Source organism: Homo sapiens, chromosome 9 (assembly GCF_000001405.40).
Source record: "Homo sapiens chromosome 9, GRCh38.p14 Primary Assembly".
NCBI classification, from domain to species: domain Eukaryota; kingdom Metazoa; phylum Chordata; class Mammalia; order Primates; family Hominidae; genus Homo; species Homo sapiens.
Window position 1 is genome coordinate 111,267,402 of NC_000009.12, and position 23,218 is coordinate 111,290,619.

Genomic DNA, 23,218 nt, shown 5'->3' on the forward strand with positions numbered 1-23,218 from the left:
TGCCTATCCCAGTTGATAGTCCCTCCAAACAAGCTGTTGCAACAGCCAGAAACCTTCAAGTATCTTTGTCACTTAAACTTTCTAACCTTTTGTACCAAGTACCATTGACTTGGCCACTAACATTTGTCCTCTCTTAAGTATTCCACAGCCAGAGTCTTAGTTTGAGACCATCTCATGTTATTATCTGAATGATTGCAGATCAGCCTGTTGCCAGTCTCTTCTATCTCCAAACCATCCTCTATGACACTACACAAATGAATTTTCTAAAATGGCAAATCTCCTTGTGTTAGCCCTCTCATCAGGCCATTCACTGAGTCCTCTTTCCTATAGGACATACGTGAACTCCTCGTCAGATAATACAGTCTGGTTTCAATGAGCTCTTTAGACTAATCTCCAGTCACTTCTCTTGTGCAAACTGTATTCTAACAACACAAGCTGCACCCAGCTTGTCGAACAAGTCATTATGTTCTCAATCCACTTTCTTTGTCTTTTCTCCCCACTCAAAAAAAAAAAAAAAAAAAAAAAAAAAAAAACAGAAAACAGGAATACTTAAAATTTATTGAGTATAAGCTATGTGTCTTGCCTTTGTTACCCTTTTAATCTTCATAAAATCCCTGTAAGGTAAGCACTATCACTATTTTTTACAGATGAGGAAACTTGCTTCTCAAAGACATTCTTCCAATTTACTCACCCAGTAAAGCCCTTCTTATCCCTCAAGGTACAACTCACATTTTATCATCTAGTTCTATAGCATTCCAGTTAGAATTCAAAACATAATAGACATTCAACAAATGATTATTAAATTTAATAAAGACAAAGTAGCTGTAAAGCAACTTGACATTTGTTCTTGCATGAAATTAAGAGTGAATTTATCCACTGAAGTTTTGAGCAATGTAGAGTTTTCTCCCCTACACGTGATATTTGAAGAGTTTCTTATTTGGACTTGGCATTTGTGTCCACAGTACTATTCTAAAACAGCTAGTCATATTGCTTACATAACTACCTCAAGATCCAGAGACAATGGAATACTTTTTATGATCACCACCTTCTGAGAAGTAGGTCAGAAACACCATATTTTACAGTTTTTCCTCGAGTATAAAGATAACCATTACTTCCCATTGCCCCAAAATGTCCCTTGTGAAGAGGAAGAGCATGGCTAAACTGGCTTGTACTCCCAGCGTTACAGAAGCATGAGACTGGCTCTACCTTTTACCATTGCATACTTAAGCTTGGGCAAAGAAGACTCCTGGCCTTCTCTAGCCATCTTCCTTCTCACAAATCAAGACCTTTCTGGAGCCAAGGGTATATGCTCACCCTCAACCTGCTTCTCTCCCTCTAGACCAGGCTTCTTGTACCTGGACCCCAAAATTCTCTGCCAAAGTGTCCCTGAGCTCACTTCTAGAGCCAGAGAATGCCTCTTCCCTAGGCCCTGTCTCTTGAGAACAGAACACACCAATGACAAGAACATCCTTAGGCCCAGGGAATGGCCAATAGAGAGCCATTTGTGGGGATGCGAATGGGGATTGTAAATATGGGATAGAGTTTCCACACACATGCATGTGAGACCTCTCATTGTATAAGACAGACCTAGAGTGAGAAGAGAAGGCAGAGCCAGAATATGAACTGCAAGACAGGTTCTCCCTGCTGCTATGTTCAGAAGCAAAACTTGCAGAAGTCCAAGACCCCTGACCTTCCAAGTCATTATGAAGATATATTAGTCAAGGTAGGTGGATAGAAGGTATTTTATTAGCTTGAAGTATCACTTGTGAATATTTAGACAGCATAGCATGTGGGCACTCACTTGTAGCCTTGCACTGGGCTCCACCAATTTTAGAAGTGGGCCTGAACTTACACCTACAGAGAACTGTACTGGTAGAGCAGGTCTTTGGTGCACCCAACAGAGAAAGCAAGGAGAGGCAATATCAGGAGTCAGGCAGGCAAAGGGGGAAGAGTAGTGAGAGTTTCTGCACACACATGGCATATCCAGGAATTAGCTCTTAGATAAAACAGATGAGAAAAATAAATTCTGAGCGTAGAGCTAAGTTTTGAGCCTTAACTAGAGATGGCATGAGGAAGCAGCCATGCAGAGTCCTAAGAAAGAAGTCTGGGCCAGCATCCAGGAGAACACGCCAAGCAGGAAGAAATAGACAGGAAGCCAATTCCACACCAGGCATCATTTTCGGACTCTGGGAGTGCCACTCATGATGCTTACAATGTGAATGGTGCCCTGGGGTTAGTACAATGCTGCAGCAAGGCAGCAAGGCTAGCAACAATAATTCCATGTTTCTACAAATATAGGATGACCCTGCAAGTGACAGCAATGTCAGCTATTCCTCTTGTGCTTGTGTCACCTGAATATCAATGAACAGGGTCTGCAGTGTAAGATTCTAGCGATGGAAGTCTCCAGAGGTGGTGGGAGCTGTTGACTGGGCCCATGCTGAAATAACATTGCATCAACCACTTGTAAATGCCAAATTCCACAATGGTAGGAAGGCCAACTGAGTAAAAGCTGACTGGGTATTCTGTCTAGTCTGTTACATGTCCCAAGAGAAATGAAGCAGGGGACATCCTTTCTAAGTCATGCTCAAAATCAAGAAACACAGATAAGTCAATGCCCAGTTCTGTCTAAAGACAGAAAATTTTCCAGTCAGAATATATATGCTAACAAAAAAATCCTTGGACAATCTCTCAGGAATTCCAATGTATCACAGAATGTATGTTAGTGAAGCTAAGTGTAGTCAAAGGATTGATTCTGGAATCACAAATCCAGGTTCCTGATAGTAAGCAACAGAAACTAACAAAAGCTAGTGTAAGCAAAAATGATGATGATGATGATGATGATGATGATGATGATGATGATGATGATGGAATGCTTTGGAGGAGCTCTCTGAATTGAAGGGAAGTCTAGTAAATTAGTCTTGGAAAAGACAAACCCTATAAACACACCAAGGGATCTCATTTAGAAAAAATCTTAGGAAACTAGAAGGGTGGATAAGTTTCAATGATTCTCAGTACTTTTTTCTCTATATACAGGAGTCATATTTCAGAGAAAAAAAAGCATTCAACTGGCCTAGTCAAGACTATTCATATACGTAGTGTATAGGAATTAGGGAAAACAGGATACCTTGACTAACACTCCTACAAAACTGCATCAAATAGGGAAAGTAAAATTCCCCTCCAAAAGAAGGTGAAATGGACACAAGGCAGCCAAAAATTAGTAAAGGTCATTGCAGCTACTTATTACATTTGTGAATTTAGGTAAACCATTTACCCACTTGGATTTTCTGCTAAAATGTGACATCATAGGTCAGAGATCTTTGTCTCACTTTCTCATTGATGTATCCCAATTGCCTCAGGTGAAACCTGACACATGGAGGATGCTTCATGAATACTTGTTGAAAGAATGACTCTCTCCAAGACTCTTCCCACAGTTAAAATGGAGATGTCTTGTAGAGTCCACAAAATGTCTAGTACATTGCTATAACATAGTAGCTGCTCAAAAAATTCTGATTATAGTTACTGTTTTTATTAGGATAAATAGTACTAGAATAATTTGCTATAAACAACGTAGAAAAATTCCAGTGTTAATATATCCAAGTTACTCTATGGAATCCCAACACAAAACAAAAGTTATTCATTATGAATTCAATGAAGCCTGTTACCAAATCCTGGGACAAAGTAAATGATTTGACCGATGATGTAGTCATATGAACAGAAATGAAAAAGTGAATTTAAAAAGACTCGCATTGGTGCCACACTTAGACTACCAGACTCCCTGAAACTGCATGTCCTCAGGGAGTCTGGCAGTCTAAGAGTGGCACTAAGTGTCATTAGTGCCAGACCCAAAATATAATAACCTGATTATCTCTGGGCTTTCAATAATGATGTCATTCTTTTCTTTCATTCTTAGTTGATTTAATTTTCCTTACTACATAGCAGATATTCCAATAATTTTCATAAGTCTCTGCAAGACCCCATTTCCACCTAGACTCCAAATCATATTCCCCCTGCTTTTTCCTGGGCATTATTTCAGCAATCATCTCTTCTTTACTGGGTCTTCAATCCCCAACACACCCCCACCGTTTCAAGTTTCCCTTTTCTCAGACTACAAAACAGCTCACTATTCCCTTTCCTAAAACTACTTTTATGACATTTATTCTCCTTCAATTACTGTATCTTTTCTGCCTTTGCTTTCATTGACAATCTGCTTTGCAAGTTCTCTACACTCAGTCTCCTCTTCCCACTCACTCTTCAGCTCATTGAAACTGTCTCCTGCCCCCTCCACCCTTTTGAAGCTTTTGAGACAGAAGTAGGCCCTGCTGAGTGCTAGATCCAGGTCTGCTACTTCCATGGCCCCCACCCCAGTCCCCTCTTCAGTATCTGAGCATTCAATTCTAGTTGTATTTTCTGGCTTGTTCTCTCGGCAAATATACATTGAGTACCTATTAGTCACCATCCTGGGTACCAGAAATATAAAAGTGAATAAGATCTAAATGCAAAAATGATCTAAACGCAACAGTGATCTAAATGGAATGTGGTATCCTGGCTTGAATTCTAGAATAGTGAAAGGATATTTGTGGAAAATCTGGCGAAATCTGGATAAAGTCTGTAGTTTAATTAATAGCATTGTACTAATGTAACTTCTTAGTTTTAACAAATGTACCCTGGTTATGTAAAATGATAATGTTAGGGGATGCTGGGTGAAGGATATATGAGAATTTTCTATAATATCTTTGCAACTTTTCCATAAATCTAAAATTATTCCAAATTGTAAAAGTCTTAAAAATTGAGTAAGGTATGTTCCCTGCCATCAGTGAGCTCACAGTGATACACAATCTTGGGATAAATGAGGCAAATTGTGGGAGAAAAACTATGAACTACCGATTCTTCCATCGAAAATGAATGCAATCTGCCTTTTTTCCCCATCATGAGTTGTACAATTTTGTATGCATCTATGTACCACACTGTAAATATTTCATGAGGACAGGACAGAGGAGTATCTAAAGGTGAATTTTTTCACAGTTCTAAATAATACATTTTGAGGCTTTGGGAGGTCTCAGATTGATCGAAGCCAACCCTAGCTAAATCACTCCACTTTCTAAGACGTTGAATTTAAACATATTACTTACATACTTTCTTTGTTCTTTTCAAGGCAAATAGTTTAATGTTTGAGGGAGTAGTAGGCCAAATAGAGGTGATTTTTGTTGTTGTTGTTGTTGTTGTTGTTTAGCCTTCTTATTGTCTGGCTGCCAGGGTTCCTGGAAATGGGATTTTTAACGAGCTTTTTTTTTTTTCTGGAGAAGACTTTGATGTGGTTGAAAATTTATTCTCTCTCGAGCGTAGGCAGGGCACCAATTAACCCACACAGAGTGCCCTTGCTGTCCTCCCAGCTTGGAGTTTATTACACTTACCATGTAGTGTATAACACTATTATCCCATCTCCTTTGTGCTTCCCTCCTGTGGACTCAAAGCAATTTCTTAAGCAGCTTTCTGCTGTCTCTCTCCGTCTTTTAAATATCTCCATTTTGCTTTTTTCCATAAATAATCTTCTGATTGCAATGGGGCTGGAAGAGAGAGGAAAGGTGAAATAGGAGAGCTGCTTCTTCAACCAGCTGATTGAGCCAGGAATAATGGTGGTTTTAATCACTTCAAAATCCATTTATGCAGAACCTACAACATGATAGACATAAGGGTACAGAGATGAATAAATAAGAAATGGGACTAAGGACTTGCAATTTTATGGTGGAAAGTGTCACATACCTAAGTACAGAACAAGGCAGAGAGAAATGAAGGCTACAATTATTTCCCCGGTATTTTTTTAAGTGACAGTTACATTAAAGAATTGTTTTTGTACTACAATGACATTGCTCTTGGTTAAATGGAAATAAAGCAACTCTGTGACTCTAAGACCTTCAGTTTGATGGTCGGAAAAAGAACTAAGAAAGTTAAAGAAAAGTAATTTAAATATGAAAGTTGGAAGCATCAGGCCAAAATGTGCAGGGTCTCAAGTTGCCAGCATTCTGTTCTCCACTACTGCTCCAGTGGGCTGACTCAACATCTCTCTTCCTTCTCCATTTAGGGTTTCAGATTTTTCTTTTTAATAGAGACAAGGTCTTGCTTTGTCGCCCAGACTGGAGTGCAGTGGTGTGATCATAGCTCACTGCTGCTTACGCTCCGGAGCTCAACCTCCTGCCTCACGCTTCCCAGTAAATGGGACTACAGGTGCACACCAACAAGCCCAGCTAATTTTTTAGTTTTTTGTAGAGATGATGGTCTCACTATGCGGCCTAGGCTGGGCTGGCTTCAAGTGATCCTCCTGCCTCAGCCTCCCAAAGCATTGGGATTACAGGAATGAGCCACTATGCTTGGAGAGGAAATTAAAAAAAAATTTTTTTTCATTAAAAAGTTCAGTTCTGGCTGGGCACGGTGGCTGCTCACGCCTCTAATCCCAGCACTTTGGGAGGCCGAGGTGGGCAGATCACCCGAGGTCAGAACTTCGAGACCAGCCTTGCCAACATGGTAAGGCCCTGTCTCTACTAAAAATACAAAAATTAGCCAGGCTTGGTAACATGTGCCTGTAATCTCAGCTACTCAGGAGGCTGAGGCAGGAGAATCGTTTCAACCCAAGAGGCAGAGGTTGCAGTGAGCCAAGATCACGCCACTGCACTCCAGCCTGAGTGACAGAGCAAGACTCCATCTCAAAAAAAAAAAAAGTTCAGTTCTCCCTTTGGGAGGCCAAGGAGGGAGTATTGCTTGAGTTCAGAAGTTTGAGACCAGCCTAGGGAACATAGGAAGAACCCCATCTCTACAAAAAATTAAAAAGTAGCCAGTCATGGTGGCACACAACTGTTGTCCCAGCTACTCAGGAGGCTGAGATGGGAAGATGGTTTGAACCCAGGAGGTCAAGTCTGCAGTGAGCCATGATCATGCCACGGCACTCCAGCCTGGGTGACAGAGCGAGACCCTGTCTCAAAAAAAAAAAAATTTTATATATATATATATATATATATATATATATATATATATATATATATATAGTTAAAGAAGTTCAGACCTTCATGACATGGCAATACCTATCTGCAAGGGAGGCTAGTAGGTGGAGTCTGTAGCTGAGCAGTCACCTGGTCTTCTGCAATTCCTATCACTAATAGGAAGGTGGAGAGAATGGATACTTAGGGAGAATTGGCAATCTCTGCTGGGGGGGGCGGGGCCGAAGAATGAAGAGTGTTAATGCCCTGAATTGAAATTTTTTTGTTTGGTTTAGACTCTTTCCTGGTTTCTAAGCCTACATATTCAGATACATACAGGACATTTCCACTTGGATATCCAACAGGCACTTGAAACAGCATGCATGGTGATTGTCCTCTAGATTCCGTTAATCTCCCCTGATTCCTTTAATAATGGAACACCAGAATTTTCAATGGTACATAGCCGCCCAAGTGAAAACATTTTCTGGCCTCTCTTACATCTAGCTATGGTGTTTGGATTAAGATTGATCAACAAATGTGAGCAGAGTGAATGTAAGCAGAAATGATGAGCTCAGCCTCTGAATCACTCCCCCAAAGAAAAGGTGTGTGTGCAGTGTGTCCATGATGGCCAGGGCTGGAGCAATTATCCCAGATCTTGATATGAAAACCACATGTTGTGAATGACAGAAAAAAAGGGTAGAAGGAGCCTAGGTCTCCAAAAGTTTTGAGCTGCCTGAGCCACCTATTCTGACATTTAAAGAACTGAAAGATAAACTTTATCTTTCTTTAAGCAATTGTATTTGGAGGTGTCTATCATAACACCTCAACCAGGAACCCTAACTACCTCTCCAGTGCCTCTAAGTATATGACCACAAAAGTTTCTGAGTTTCCTGAGCCAGAACAAATAAGTCATCCCTGACTTCCTTTCTCTTCTTCATGTCCAATACCAAACATGCCCATTTCTGTCCATTTTACCTCCTAAATATTTTAGTCCATCTTTGTTCTAATCCTAACTAATAATGCCTGGGTCCTGCTTCTCTTGCTTGGACATGTTTATAGCTGCTCTTTCCACCTCTAGCCTTGTCTACCGTCAATCCATTCTTCCAAGGCACAAATAGAATCACACCTCCCTCTGTCTGAAATCCCTCAATGATTCCCCATTCTCTACAGGATCAAATCCAAGCTCTTTAGCAAGACACTCAAAGCTCTTCATGATGTGGCCCCTGTTCAGCCAGCTGATCTCTCATTATGGCCCCGACATACCACACTACTTTCTATATCAGCGCTTTTGCATATACTATTGCCTCTGCCTGAAAATCTCTGTACTTCCCTGTCTTCATTAAAAAAAAAAAAAGTTTTCTTCTTTAAAACCTAGCCAGATACTGGCTGCAATGTGCTGCTTTTTCATTTTGTGCATGATTGAATTGTTATATTTCTCACATTCAGCAATACATTGCTCCTTTATATCCTGTAAGTTCATTGAAAGCCCAGACTGGAGTGCAGTGGTGCGATCTCGGCTCACTGCCACCTCCGCCACCCAGGTTCAAGCAATCCTCCTGCCTCAGCCTCCCAAGTAGCTGGGATTACAGGTGCGTGTCACCATGCCTGGCTAATTTTTGTATTTTTAGTAGAGGCGGGGTTTCGCCATGTTGGCCATGCTGTTTTTTGTTTTGTTTTGTTTTGTTTTGTTTTGTTTTGTTTTGTTTGAGGCAGGTTATTACTCTGTCACCCAGGCTGGAGTACAACGGCGTGAACTCAGCTCCCTGCAACCTCTGCCTCCTGGGCTCCAGCGATCCTCCCACCTCAGCCTCCCGAGTAGTTGGGACCATAGGCACGCGGCACCATGCCCAGCTAATTTTTTGTGTTTTTAGTAGAGACAGGATCTCACTATGTTGCCCAGGCTGGTCTCAAACTCCTGAGCTCAAGTGATCTGCCCACCTCGGCCTCCCAAAGTGCTGGGATTACAGGCATGAGCCACCACACCTGGCCATGAATCTTATTCATTTCTGAATAGCAAGTTGTGAGATTCAATATGAAATAGATTGATAGATGAACGGATGAATGGAAGAATGGGTGAAAACACTAAATGAAAGAAGATTAGAAAACAGATTGAAAATACAGTGTACCACCAGACCTGGCAGTAGCAGCTATCTCAGGCTACCTTATGAGTAGCTTACTCTGAAACTCAGCTATCTAAAAGCAACCTTCAGCATCATCTAAAACGCATTTCCAGCTACCAACTGAACAGGGAACTTGGGACTATGTTCGTGCTTTCTCCTGAAAACAAAACAAAACAAAAAAAGGAACTTGGGAAACATAGATTACGAACGCAACTATGATTATTTTTTAAATTTCTAGAACGATTGCCTTGGTTATATTTTGTCTGTCTCCCTACAACAGGAAAACTCAAAGCTATAAGGACATATTTGCTTCCTTTCAGCACACACATAAAAAAGACAATAAGATCTGAAAATACAAAACCTCATGCTGAGGAAAATCTGAAGGCTATTCAACCCCAAAAGAGAAAGTAGGCAGCGGCAAGTAAGAATACAGGCTGAGTCCCTGGGGATTTGAAAGGACGATCAAAGGTCCCCTTAAGAAGCTCTTCTTGTCCTTAATCAAGAGTTCCCAGAGTTTTCTGAAGAGAGCTTTAAACACATTGAAGTCCACCTGCTCTTTTTGCAAATTCAGAATTGCAAATTAAACAGTTATCTAAGTTTATATAACTATCCAGTAGCAGAACTAAGACTATATTGTCAAAACACATAGAAACAAATGGACTCTGTGAAAACCATCCTGGAAATTACCAAACTAGTTCAGAAAAGAAAAAAAAAATGTGTAAGGATTTTACATAATAATATAGTCTATTCAAAGTTCACAATATGCAACACAGATATCCTTCAAAACCTTATGTCAAGGGTCAGGGGAGGACTGGTGGTTTCAGTGGAATAGCATTGGAACATGCTCAATCTAAATTCAGATGGGTTTGGGCATGACTGGATGTTTGATGGAATCGCCCATGCAGGGCTATTTACTAGAAAAGTGAGAAGCTTTTTTGCTAAAAACCCATCATAAGGAAAGGAAACATGTGGCATGCATGCTTAGGCGAAGCACACTGGTAAGGACCAGAAGGAAGGTGTCATTTTCAGTACAGCGTTGTGTTTGCAGCTCAGATTTTTCTCCAGCACGATCCCTTTCCCCTAAGGATCTGTGCTGGAGCCCTGTGGATATAAATTGTAAACAGAAAAGGACTGGATTTAGACATCTATGAGGACACTAAAACACAAGGCAGAATTGTTCTTTAAAGAATTTAGTCTGTATAATGAAGTGTGGGTCAAAGGAACCAGAGAGAGGGCAAAAGGTATTTTCTGTAAGCAGCAAGCTGGCTTTAGGGGTAGGGAAGGAGGACTCAAGGGAGAACATCTCTCACAGGACCTAGGGATTCAAGGACTTGAGAAATGAGCCAGACCAGCCTCCTCCCAGCATAGAGAAGGACCACTTAAAAAACATACTGTGTTCATAGCCTATAATCAATTTTTATGTTTTTCTTTTCTCTTTAAAAGTCTGTCATTCGCAATTTTTCACATGCTTTATAGTCTTCATGATTTTTCACCCACTTCACAATAGCCCATTAAATGACTATGCTGAGATTTGCTTAACCATCCCCCAAATTTAAGCATTTACGTTGCTTCAAATGTTGTAAAGAACATATATCTTCAATAGCCTTTCCCTGAATCAATGCATTCTAAATTCCTGGGAGGAGTTGGATATTGAGTCAAAGTCAATAAACAATTTTCATTCTCAATAAATATAATCAAATCAGCTTTCTATGATGATTTTTTTCCTTCAAAATGTGCTCTTACCAAAAATAATAAAAAAAATCATTTTCATTACTTTTTCTTCAAATTTGGGGTATTGTCATTTTAAGAATTTCAACTTCTATCTTACAATTTTTCTTCTTTTCTTTGTTATTTCATTAAGTGGGGAGTGGCATCTTATTGCTTCCTTTCCCTTGATTTCCAATGGAGATTTTTTTTTTCACATTTACTTAACTTCATTATCTTTTGAAATTATCTTATTTCCTTTGCTCCTTAAAATTCTGTTGAACTCTGCCCTCTAATAATTTTTCATAGGCTTTAGAAAACTCTAAATACAATCTTTAGACTTTGTGCCCAAGTACAAAAGGAATCATAGATGCAGATTATAAATGAATGTAAAATAATATCTATATAAACAATGCATAAAATAAGTTACAGTTTTTATAATTTTATACTATCTTGTTGGACAAAGGGGGTTGATTACTGATGTAATCAATTGTTGATGCTTACTAATATGATGTATATTTCTGAAAAGATGGCAAAAGATGTAAGAACCTAAAAAATATTATGTATAGATTTTATACGAATGTATACACATAAAAGTACAACTCATGAATAAAAAACACATGTCCTCATAATAATAGTTACCATTAAAGAGTAGCTGCTAGGTGCCTGGAACTTTATTTAACAAATTTTTCTTTTTTTTTTTTTGTGAGACAGAGTCTTGCTCAGTCACCCAGGCTGAAGTGCAGTGACACTATCTCGGCTCACTGCAGCCTCAACCTCCTGGACTCAGGTAATTCTCCCACCTCAGTCTCCCAACTAGTCAGGACTGTAGGGACGTGCCACCATGCCCAGCTATTTTTTTTTTTAATATCTTTTGCAGAGAAAGCATTTTGCCCTGTAGCCCAGGCTGGTCTCAAAGTCCTGGGCTCAAGCGATCCTTTTGTCTCAGCTTCCCAAAGTGTTGGGATTACAGGTGTGAGTCACTGCACCTGGCCACAGATTTCTTATTCTTATAACAAGGTCGATTTTATGAATAAGGAAACTGAGGTTCAAGGTCACACTTGCTAGCAAATGCTACAGCAACAATTCAAACCCTGATCAGTATGATTTCAAAGTCATAAGCTTCCCATGATGCTCTTCTTCACCACTGAGTTGCAAGGTAAGTCATACAAAAGAGTTAAAAGGCCATAAAACTCCTATTTCCTGCTCAAGTCTTTTATTCAGAATTTACGTTCTGTGATGTGTAATTTTATGGCTTTTTTTTTTAAAAAAAAAAAAAGAATTCTATGCTAGCTTGGGAACACATGCAGTCAAATGAGATTCTAATTAGACAAATACCACAGAAATACTAAGACCCCAAAATTGTACATTTTGTTTCTACCTATCAAAGTATGCCCTAGATATTTTTGTTTCATTCAAAACAAGTAGAAATTCCCCTTTCAGATAAATAACACCGACCAGAGACTGTTAGGATGTGCTCTTTCTCCCAAGTGAGAGAGAGAAAAATCTGCCTAAAGCCTTCTAGGATTCACCATGTTTGCATAATACCATGACCTCTGTTATCTAAATATTGACATTTTACCCTTTTATGGGATTTTTACATATTCTAGATTGAATGTAATAATTAAAAACATAAACATCCTTTACAATTGGAAAGTGATTTCTCTGCTTTCCAGTTTTAAGGAAAATCTCATAGAATTAATATTATGCAACAGATAGTTCCTGCTTTAGTAGCTTAGGATATAAAACAAAGTCACTTATTTTTGAATCCTTCATCTCTCTTTAAAGCATGCCTTTTATTCTTCCTCCTTCAACACACCACTATCACATCCAAGATAAGTCCACCAACCCCAAGAATTGACTGTTCAATTCAAAGCTTCATTCCTGGTTACAAATGCCTTTTAGAGAGAGAAAAAAAAAATAACTTTTATTTTAGGTTCAGGGGTACATGTGCAAGTTTGTTATATAAATAAACTCATGTCACAGAGGTTTTTTGTACAGATTATTTTGTCACCCAGATGCTAAGCCTAGTACCCAATAGTTATTTTTTCTGATCCTCTCCCTCCTCCCACCCTCCACCCTCAAGGTGGCCCCAGCGCCTGTTGTTCCCGTCTTTGTGTCCATGTGTTGTCATCATTTAGCTCCCACTTATAAGTAAGAACATGCAGTATTTGATTTTCTGTTCCTGTGTTAGTTTGCTAAGGATAATGGCCAAAGGAACAAAACAGAAAGCCCAGAAATAAGGACATACATCTACAACCATCTGATCTTTGACAAAGCTGATAAAAACAAGCAATGAGGAAAGGACTCCCTATTCAATAAATGGTACTGGGATAACTGGCTAGCCATATGCAGAAGATTGGACCTCTTCCTTACCCCATATACGAAAATCAACTCAAGATGGATTAAAGACTTAAATGTATAACCCAAAACTATAAAAACCCTGGAAGACAATCCAGGCAATACCATTCTGGACATAGGAACAGGCAAAGAGTTCATGACAAAGATGCCAAAAGTAATTGCAACAAAAGCAAAAATTGACAAATGGGATTTAATCAAACAAAAGAGCTTCTGCACAGCAAAAGAAACAGAGAAAACAGACAACCTACAGAATGGGAGAAAATATTTGCAAACTATGCATCTGATAAAGGTCTAGTATCCAGCATCTATCAGGAATTTAAACAAATTTATAAGAAAAAAACAAGCAACCCCATTAAAAAGTGGACAAAGGACACAAAACAGACACTTCCAAAGAAGATATAGATGTGGCCAACAAGCATATGAAAAAAAGCTCAATATCACTCATCATTAGAGAAATGCAAATCAAAACCACAAGGAGATACCATCTCACACCAGCCAGAATGGCTATTATTAACAAGTCAAAAAATAACAAATGCTGACAAGGTTGTGGAGAAAAGAGAACACTTATGCACCATTGGTGGGAGCGTAAATCAATTCAACCATTATGGAAAGCAGTGTGGTGATTCCTCAAAGAGCTAGAAACAGAACTACCATTCGATCCAGCAATCCCATTACTGGATGTATAAAAGGAAAAGAAATTGTTATATCATAAAGATGCATGTATGCATATGTTCATTGTGTCACTATTCACAATAGCAAAGACGTGGAATTAACCTAAATGTCCATCAAAGGTAGACTGGATAAAGAAAATGTGGTACATATACACCATGAAATACTAGGCAGCCATAAAAAAGAGTGAGATCATGTCCTTTGCAGGAACATGGACGGAGCCAGAGAGAAAATTTTGTCTACCAGATGGCCCCATACCCTACTGCCTCTCGGGCTGACACTGCCACATAAGGTCACTAGTGAAGCCCAGGTGGTTCGGTAACTTAGGTATGATCCAGCTTTTTTTCCTGATAAATTTATGGCAAAATGGGCCCACACTTCTATCAAAATCTTGCAACCCATCAGCATTTTTTTTTTTAAGACAGAGTCACACTCTGTTGCCCAAGCTGGAGTACAGTGGCTCAATCTCGGCTCACTGCAACCTCCGCCTCCCAGGTTCAAGTGAGCCTACTGCCTCAGCACCCCCTAGTAGCTGGGATTACAGGCACATGCCACCATGCCTGGCTAATTTTTGTATTTTTAGTAGAGACGAGGTTTCGCTATGTTGGCCGGGCTGGTCTGGAACTCCTGACCTCAGGTGATCTACACGTCTCGGCCTCCCAAAGTGCTGGGATTACAGACATGAGCCACTGCGCCCAGCCAACCCATTAGTTTTGTGATAACTGTGCTCCACTTCCAGGCATAGACCCCTTAGTTCAGGCTTTTCTACCAATGGCAACAGATGTCATCTGAAGTTTATTCACCCAAGTAGTACAGAACCCAAGGCTAAAAGATAAGCAATACGTGTAGGCAGATTGTGAGTACCTGGACATCATTAACCAATAATTTACCACTTGTGCAACTGTTGACTTTATTGGGCAAAAAATAAAAGAGGAAACACAGCCACATGCTTGGATGTGGTCCATATCATTTGGGTTCACAGATTCTTAGAACTCTCAACCAATAGCTCAGACTCAACCCTGTGCCTTACTTATTTTGACCTTATACGCACCTGCAAGCATCATTTTCCCCAGGAAACACTCAGCACAAGGATGACTGGATTCAAGGAAGTTTCAGATCTCAGCACCTACTATCTAGGATTTATTCATTCTCTCTCTCTCTCTCTCCCTCTGTCTCTCTCTCTTTCCCTCCCTCCCCTCTCCCCCATAGAGCCTGCAATCAGAATATATAATTTCTTCTCACTCTCCAGATCTACCCCCTCTTTCTAGCTTCTGTATGGCTTTTTTTTCATGAAGTATCCAAACATGTTAAAATTGAAAAAGTTTCTTTCAGAATCTGTTTTATATCAAATGAAATTAATTGTGATGAATTGTAAATACGGCAATGAGCAGATAAATTCTTATTGTCCTTAAGTCCATCCTGAGAATAGGTCCAAGAGTTTAAGATGTGATGAGACAAAACATGCTTTCAGACATGAGAATTTCAAAACTGTACAAGAAGATAATAAAAACTGTGAATGTATATTAAAGTTATATACTTTAACCACGGCAATATACATATACTCCGGCCCACTGTTCATGGTAAGAACTTGAATGAGCATTATCAGAGCTCTTCAAGGAATTGTCCCTCACATTAAAAAAAAAAATGCTGTCTCCATAACAAGAAATAAAAATTAGTACCGCCAAAAAGAGGACTTGGAACAGATGTAAGCTCTAGAAAGTTCAGAAAGTGACTACCAAGGGACATTGATTTTTTATTTTTAAAAAATGCACAAGCGTCAGAAATGTTTGGCAACATATGAATGAAAATCAGCCTGCATAACTTTAATTGGGTACTGGAAATTTTTCCATGTGTTGCCAACAAAAACAGATGGAGAGTATCATTTCAAAGAAAGAGGTAATGAAACTTCCCTTGAAGGAATTGCTTAAGAAAAATGGTAACACTTGATGGCAGAGTAAGCTTTAAGAGCACACATCATGTGACATGTAAACAGAAGAAACACAAAAGCAAAGACATAGAGTAAACTAGCTCACTTCATTCCTAATGCATATCAATCTGTTACCTGGGAGCACCAGCTCCTCACCTAGCCACCATCTGGTCATCAGGTATCTCATGACATTACCATTTAGAAGGAGAGAATGACCTGGCCATCTGCCTTATCTGAGGTCTATTCACCCAAGTGATGGAGAATCCCAAATAAAAGGTAAGCAACACGTGTAGGCAGATTGTGAGAATCTGGACATCACGAACCTAATAATTTGCCTGGCCAGGTGCAGATCCCAGCACTTTGGGAGGCCAAGGTGGGTGGATCACCTGAGGTCAGGAGTTCAAGACCAGCCTGACCAACATGGTGAAACCCATTCTCTACTAAAATACACACACACACACACACACACACACACACACACAAATTAGCCAGGTGTGGTGGTGGGCACCTGTAATCCCAGCTACTCAAGAGGCGAGGCTGGGAGAATTGCTTGAACCCAGTAGGTGGAGGGTGCAGTGAGCCGAGATCATGCCACTGCACTCCAGCCTGGGTGACAGAGTGAGACTCCATCTCAAAAAAAAAAAAAAAAAAAACCCACTGGATTTATTAAAATAAAACTCCAATGGCAAGAAGATTCTTATGACTCATGGGTAAGGGGAATTTTCTCATTCCAGTAAACGAATTTCTGAAACATATCCACAGCTGTTGTAGAGCCATAATTAAGACTGGAAATTAGGGAGTTCAATTTGAGATGATAACCTATCATTAATCATTCAAAATAAATAAATACTCCAAACAAAACACATCTTTGTGTGGCATTTTAGAATAGGTAGGATAACAAATGTTACTGACTCCCTATCATCTTGACCAACAACTCAAAGAATTCAATCACTCTTTCCCACATCGATGCCCCGTTTCATGTGGTTTTCCCTTGTCCACTGTCAGCAATATCGCTGATTCTATTCCTCCATTTTATCCTTAATCTGCTAGCGTCACTTCCAACACTGAAAGCCATTTGATCAATCTGTGTTTGTTCCATTATTGAACAGTTGAAAACTCATTCTAACTCTAGGCCATCAAACTGGGAAAACTAGCTCTAACCTGGTTTTGCTTCTACCTGCCTATATGGCCTTGAGTGAGTTACAACACTTCCTGGGTTGTCAATTTTGTCGTTGTTAAAGTAAAGGGTAGGACTAGATAACTCTAAGACCCCCGTCCAGTGATCACATTCTTATTCTAAATCTCATAGCAGTATTAAAGTGTTTCCAGCTCTTAAAGCACTTTCACCACATGCATCATTGAATTTGGCCCTTATACAGCCCTATCGGGTTGGTAAGGTGGGAATTACTAGCCTCATTGTAGAATGAGGAAGATGGGGCTCAGCATTAAATAAGCTTACTGTACCACACCTCTTCTCGGTAGCAGGTCTTCTGAGTCCTCCATGCCTTTTCCACTTCACTCTTCCATAACAGACAGGTAAGATGAATGGAAGCTCACAATGGGCAGGCTTGATGGACGAGGACAGCCAGGGCTGTGGCTAACGACTGAGTTTTGTTGGCTGTCTGCCTTCAGCTGGCCTTTTTCTTGATGAATGTCTGAATGAGGTGCACTGGTAGAATTCTGAGGAGGCACAAGGAAGGGGATGAGGAGCTTCAGGCAAATGGTGGGAAAGAGAAAGTGAAAAGGGAAGAAATAGAGCAGCTGCTATGTGGAGTGAAACTAACTTTACGGAAGAAAGATGCTTACAGAGGACTTTTAGGGAGTTTTGTTCTAACGTATGCACTGAAACCCTTCCCCCATCTTCACAAGAAAACAATAGTAAGGATCATCATTTTTTAAATGTTTTTGAGTTAGACTTTTGTATTTTGCATTGATTTTTAGATGTATGGATTTCTCCGATGAGTTCCAACATTTGGGTTATAATAAAAAGAAAAACACATTTACACTATTACCATTACCAACGAGCCAAAATTAGGCAAAGCAAAAAGTACATACTCCCCCTGCTCCCTCTCTTAACCCCCGCCCCGCCAAACACACACTTACTGAAAGGATTTGTGAGTCATTATTGTGACCTAACAAATGTAATGCTTTTCTCATATTTTTACTGTAGAAACAGCAAATTACAGACCCATTGACTGGCCAGTATACCTGGGAGACACTGTTCGGTATAGATTGTGATAGATCAAATAGGAAGATATAAAAATGCCCTTCCATCTGACCCCAACTGAGTGCTGAACCTGCAGGTGCAGGTGCTGAAACTGGTCCCCATTATCTGAATGTTAAGGATTCATCTGGAATGTGAGAAAGCTCCAATGTCCTAAAAACAAATCTGCAGCATAAAACTAAGGAGAGGATTTGAATTTTCTGACCTAAATAAGTCTCCTTCAATCCCAAAATGTCTCCCAAAAGACAATATTTCCCAATCTGAGAAATTTGAGATTGTGGAGGGCTGCAAGTTGTCTGCAAATCAATATGGTATACACATTCTTTTCAACTAATAGGTACCTAAAATACAACACCTTTCCTACTGAGGTGGGAATAAAAAAATGACATTCCAAACTTGAAAAGCTTGTAAATTTACTGGCATATGAAGAAACACAGTTAAGTCTCGCTTAGTGTCATGTCAAAGTAAAGAAACTTTTTTGTACTTCATAGTTTTAATCTGTTTTCCAAGTCCACTCATAAAATTTGCCATGTGCAAGGAACAACATAGTATTCAGCTAATTTGTTTGGCGGATGAATAAACTTTACTATTTCACCTTGGGAAATCATTTTTTTAAAAAAGCACATTCAAAGGAATATGCTTTTAACTTCTGTAATACAATGGAAGCAAAGCAGAATATCACAAACTTCTTACTCAATATGGTAGAATTGTTACGTACAGAACATACAAATTCCGTACAATATAGTTACAGTGAAACTCAGAAGGTCTGTTTCTTTGGATCCACACCGAAGGAGACGGAAACTTAAACTTTCTCAGTTCCTATTGCTTTTTTTTTTTTTTTTTTTTTTTTTAGAGACAGGGCATGGCTCTGTCGCCCAGGCTGGAGTGCAGTGGCTTGATCATAGCTCACTACAGCCTCAGACTCCAGGGCTCAAGCAGTCCTCTCCTCTCAGCCTCCCAAGTAGCGAAGACTACAGACATGCGCCACCATACCAAGCTAATATTTTTATTTTTATGTAGAGATAGGATCTACCTAGCTGATAGGATCAGCTGGTGGCGGCGGGCGTCTGTAGTCCCAGCTACTCGGGAAGCTGAAGCAGGAGAATGGCGTGAACCCGGGAGGCAGAGCTTGCAACGAGCCGAGATCCCGCCACCACACTCCAGCCTGGGAGACAGAGCGAGACTCCATCTCAAAAAAGAGGAAAAAAAAAAAAAAGAGAGAGAGAAGAGATAAATAAACTGAAGCTCTGAAGGTTAAGTAAAATGTGTAAGGTCATTGAACTATTACATAATTGAGTGTTATTTACACGTGAGTTTCTCTGGTGATTAGTCTCCCGTGCTTTTTCACTAGACTACAATGCCACCTTTTACTCGATCACAATGACTGGTTAGCAAGATGAGCTATATGTTCAACAAGGTACAAATATGTGCACAATTTATGTCTTAGGTTTACCTCATTTTCCTTTGCTCTGATTTAGTAGGTCTGTGGTGAGGCCCACAAATCTGTTTTTAACACTTTCCCCAGGTGATTCTTAGGTGCAGCCACAGTTTAAGCACCTTGTTCTAGGTGGTGCCGTATCAAGGACAGTGATACTGTTTCGTCTATGCCAATGTGGCTTGCTGAAGGGTGTAAAACCAGTCCTGCTGAGCAGATCCCTCTGAACAGCTGAGCCACCTTTCAAGACAGTAGCAGGATTCTCACCTGAGATAGAGGATTTCTCCACATGGGGCAGCCTCACTTTTCTCCTAATGATACAGCCTGAGGAACAGAGGGTCTGACCTCTTGTCTGGCCTTCCTAGCCTTCCTAGCGCACATTCAGTAGAGAAATCAACTCTCTCAAAGATGGATCTCCAGGCCTTTTGATGATCTTTCTCCCTCTGCCTCAAATGCTTCAGGCTGGAAGCACTGGAATGCATTGGAAGCATTGGAATGCATTCACACAGGGGCCAGCGTCCTTCTGGCAAAGGTTCTGCTAAGCTTCAAGGCAACCTTGAGTCACTCCTTTGAGGTGGCTCAATCATTTCCTGCCACTTAGCCATGACATATCTCAAAGTTCATCAACTATCTACAGATAAAGTGTCCATATAGATATATAGATATATACACACATATATTTATATATATATACACACATACATATGTATACATATATATACACACACATATTCTAAGATCATTGTGTGAGACTATTCCTTTTAAAAAAAAATTTAATCAATTCTTTGGCCAGCCACTGTGGCTCACTCCTGTAATCCCAGCACTTTGGGAGGCCAGGGTGGGAAGATTTCTTGAGGCCAGGAGTTTGAGACCAACCTGGGAAACATGGTGAGACCTCTGTCTCTACAGAAATTTTAAAAGTTAGCTGGGTATAGAAGCACATGCCTGTAATCCCAGCTACTCAGGAGGCTGAGGTAGGAAGATCTCTTGAGCCCGGGTGTTCAAGGTTACAGTGAGCTATGATCACACCACTGCACTCCATCCTGGGCAACAGACTGAGACCCTGTCTCAAAAAAAAAAAAAAAAAAAAAAATTAAATTAATTCTTTGCATAGAAAAGGAAGGCTTTTAAGCAAAAGAGTGCTTTTGTAAGATAACATGTGATTACCCGTAAGATAACAGATGAAGTAATGAGGAAGGAGAACACAGAGGAGAGGGAAGAGAAGCAGTGTGTGCTTTTTACTCCCAAACATAAACTGATCCCAGCAGAAGCCAATGATAAGAGCCAAACAGAAAATTATCATGCTCCCAGAACTACACCCCCATCTCCACCTTCTACCGTGTGTCCAAACCCTACACTAATGTTCATTCTAGTTCCTTACTCAAATTTTATCTTATATTTTTGATCCACTCAATTCCTATCACATAAACACACTTATGAAAATGTGTGTGAGGTGGGGCATGGTGGCTCACACCTGTAATCCCAGCACTTTGGGAGGCCAAGGCAGGTGAATCACCTGAGGTCAGGAGTTCAAGGCCAGTCTGGACAACATGGTGAAACCCTGTCTCTATTAAAAATACAAAAATTAGCCAGGTATGGTGGCGCATGCCTGTAATCTCAGCTACTCAGGAGGCTCAGGCAGGAGAATTGCTTGAACCCAGGAGGCAGAGGTTGCAGTGAGCTGAGATCACGCCACTGCACTCCAACCTGGGTGACAGAGTGAGACTCTGTCTCAAAAAAAAAAAAAAAGTGTGATATGAAAATCTCCTTTCTTAGTGGAACTGAATGTTCCTTAAGTTTAGTCTTTCATCTTGAGACATCAATCCCACTGCTGTCCACAATGTTTCGGCCATGGACATTCTCAAGTCCTATGCCCTGCTTCCAGTCAATCAGTGCCCTTGGATTGCCTTTGCAGAAACTATCAAATCCTGGAGCATTCATTGGAACAGTTGTATTTTAGATGCTGTCACAAGGGAGTAAGTAGAAACCAAAGGAGCTGAAACTTCTTCAACCTCTAAGCTGACTCACTCTTTATTTCAGAGTTCAGATACAAGTCATATTTATTTCGCTTTAGCTAAGCACATCTTCATGGTAGCTGGCTCATTTTTGTTCAAGTAATTTACATCCATTTCCTCTTATTAAGTCATTTGCCCCTCCTTTAAGTCCTTTTAGGCAGTTAGTAGTCCATTGTTTTCTCTTGGGACCTATTTCCTTCAGCTTTTATACTTTTTGGTACTCTAATATCCTGAAACAGCAAAGTTTCCAAAGTGACTAACTTAACCTAAGATGTTACTCATACATCAGAGGAATCGTTTTCAGAAATGTCTTAAACAGCTTTCTCCTTTCTTCAAATAAATTTTAATGCAGAGGCTTGATATATAAAACAGGTAAGTGTGGAGTGCCTCAGTTTTCAGGATAAGAGAACTCGGATGGGTAGGCTTGTGCTCATTCTTGTCCCCCGAGGCTGCCCAGAAGGACCTTTCCAGAAATCTAGGTACCTGTAGAGCACATTTTAATAACACTTGTGCTAACAGAATCTGAATTATTTAAATACTATATGTGTGCAGATAGATAGATAGATGATAGATAGATAGATAATAGATAGATAGATAAACTTCTACCCTGATTTGTAGACCATGCCATGCCTGGAGAGATCTAAATATTCACAATGAAATGAACAACAAATAAATCTATATAGAATCAATGAAAAGATACTGCAATAAAGAAGGAAGCCAAATATAAGGCATGAAAACTCAGGAGAAAAGTAGACTCTAAAAAATAATGAGATGACTTCCAGAAGAATCAGAAGAAAATTATGGTACAGTTTCCTAGTGTTCCCAGAGTTATAAGAAGACATGACCTTTGTAAAACAAAAACTCCAAGTTTTAATGGGGAATATAGTTAAATGAAGAAAGAGATGCAGAAGGAACTAGCTGAAATGAGAAAAACAAGTACAAAAAATCTAATATATTATAATAAAATTAAAATCTCCATTGAAGAAGGTAATGAGCAGAAGTGACATTGAATAAAACTGGAACAATAATATTGAAGACAAACTTGAGAATCTATCACTGCACAGAGAGAAAATAACAACAAAAATTAAATACTGACAGGAAAAATGATATTTTTCAAAAACAGGGAAGTCAGAAATATTAGGACCCAAAAACAAAATGAACAAAAAACATAAAAGAAAGAAAAAAAATTTTCTGGAATTAAAAAAATAGAAATCCTGAGTCTATTCAAAAACAGGGTTCAGGATGTTCCGGGAAAAATTATTGAACTAGAACCCATTCCAACACAAAAGGCAAACTATTTTAATGATGTGGATAAAGAAAAATACTATAGAGTATAAGAAGAAGAAAAGTTTATCTAGAAATGGAAAAAATTCAAGCTTCATCACATGTGTAAATTCAAGAAGAAAATGGAGGTGTGTCTGCCAGATTTTGAGGGGAAAAACATAGTGAACTAAAATTCTGAACTTTGTCAACTTTCTTTCACAAACAAAAGCAACAGAAAAAACTTCTCATGCAAAGATACAGCAAGAATTCCACAAATGCACCTTTGACAGAAATGTCTTCAATTACATTCTAAAGCTAAAGTAGTTGAAAGAGGATTCAAGAAGTCAAAAGTCAAAATATAAAAGCACTAGTGTCAGTACAGACAAGATAACATAACAATATACACAGAAAATAACTACAAAACCTGTTGCAAATAAAATTTTAAAATTTCACTCAAAGCAAACATAAGACTGCCATTTATGGTATCATAATGGACTAAAGACCATGATTGACCCTCCTGGTGAAAATGACT

The 23,218-nt window shown here is 39.5% G+C and overlaps 1 long non-coding RNA gene and 1 other non-coding gene across 2 annotated transcripts; both read right to left on the reverse strand.

Annotated features, from left to right (window-relative positions):
• Nucleotides 1–3,754: 3,754 nt before the first annotated feature.
• MIR7702 (microRNA 7702) lies at nt 3,755–3,813 on the reverse strand. Its single transcript, NR_106989.1, has one exon. It is a non-coding gene; the product is annotated as a microRNA 7702 (primary transcript).
• A 1,328-nt stretch (nt 3,814–5,141) lies between these two features.
• Nucleotides 5,142–17,474, reverse strand: LOC105376219 (uncharacterized). The gene is made up of 2 exons (NR_188622.1): nt 17,219–17,474; nt 5,142–5,564 (listed from the first exon to the last, which is right to left on the reverse strand). It is a non-coding gene; the product is annotated as an uncharacterized LOC105376219 (long non-coding RNA).
• Nucleotides 17,475–23,218: the final 5,744 nt, after the last annotated feature.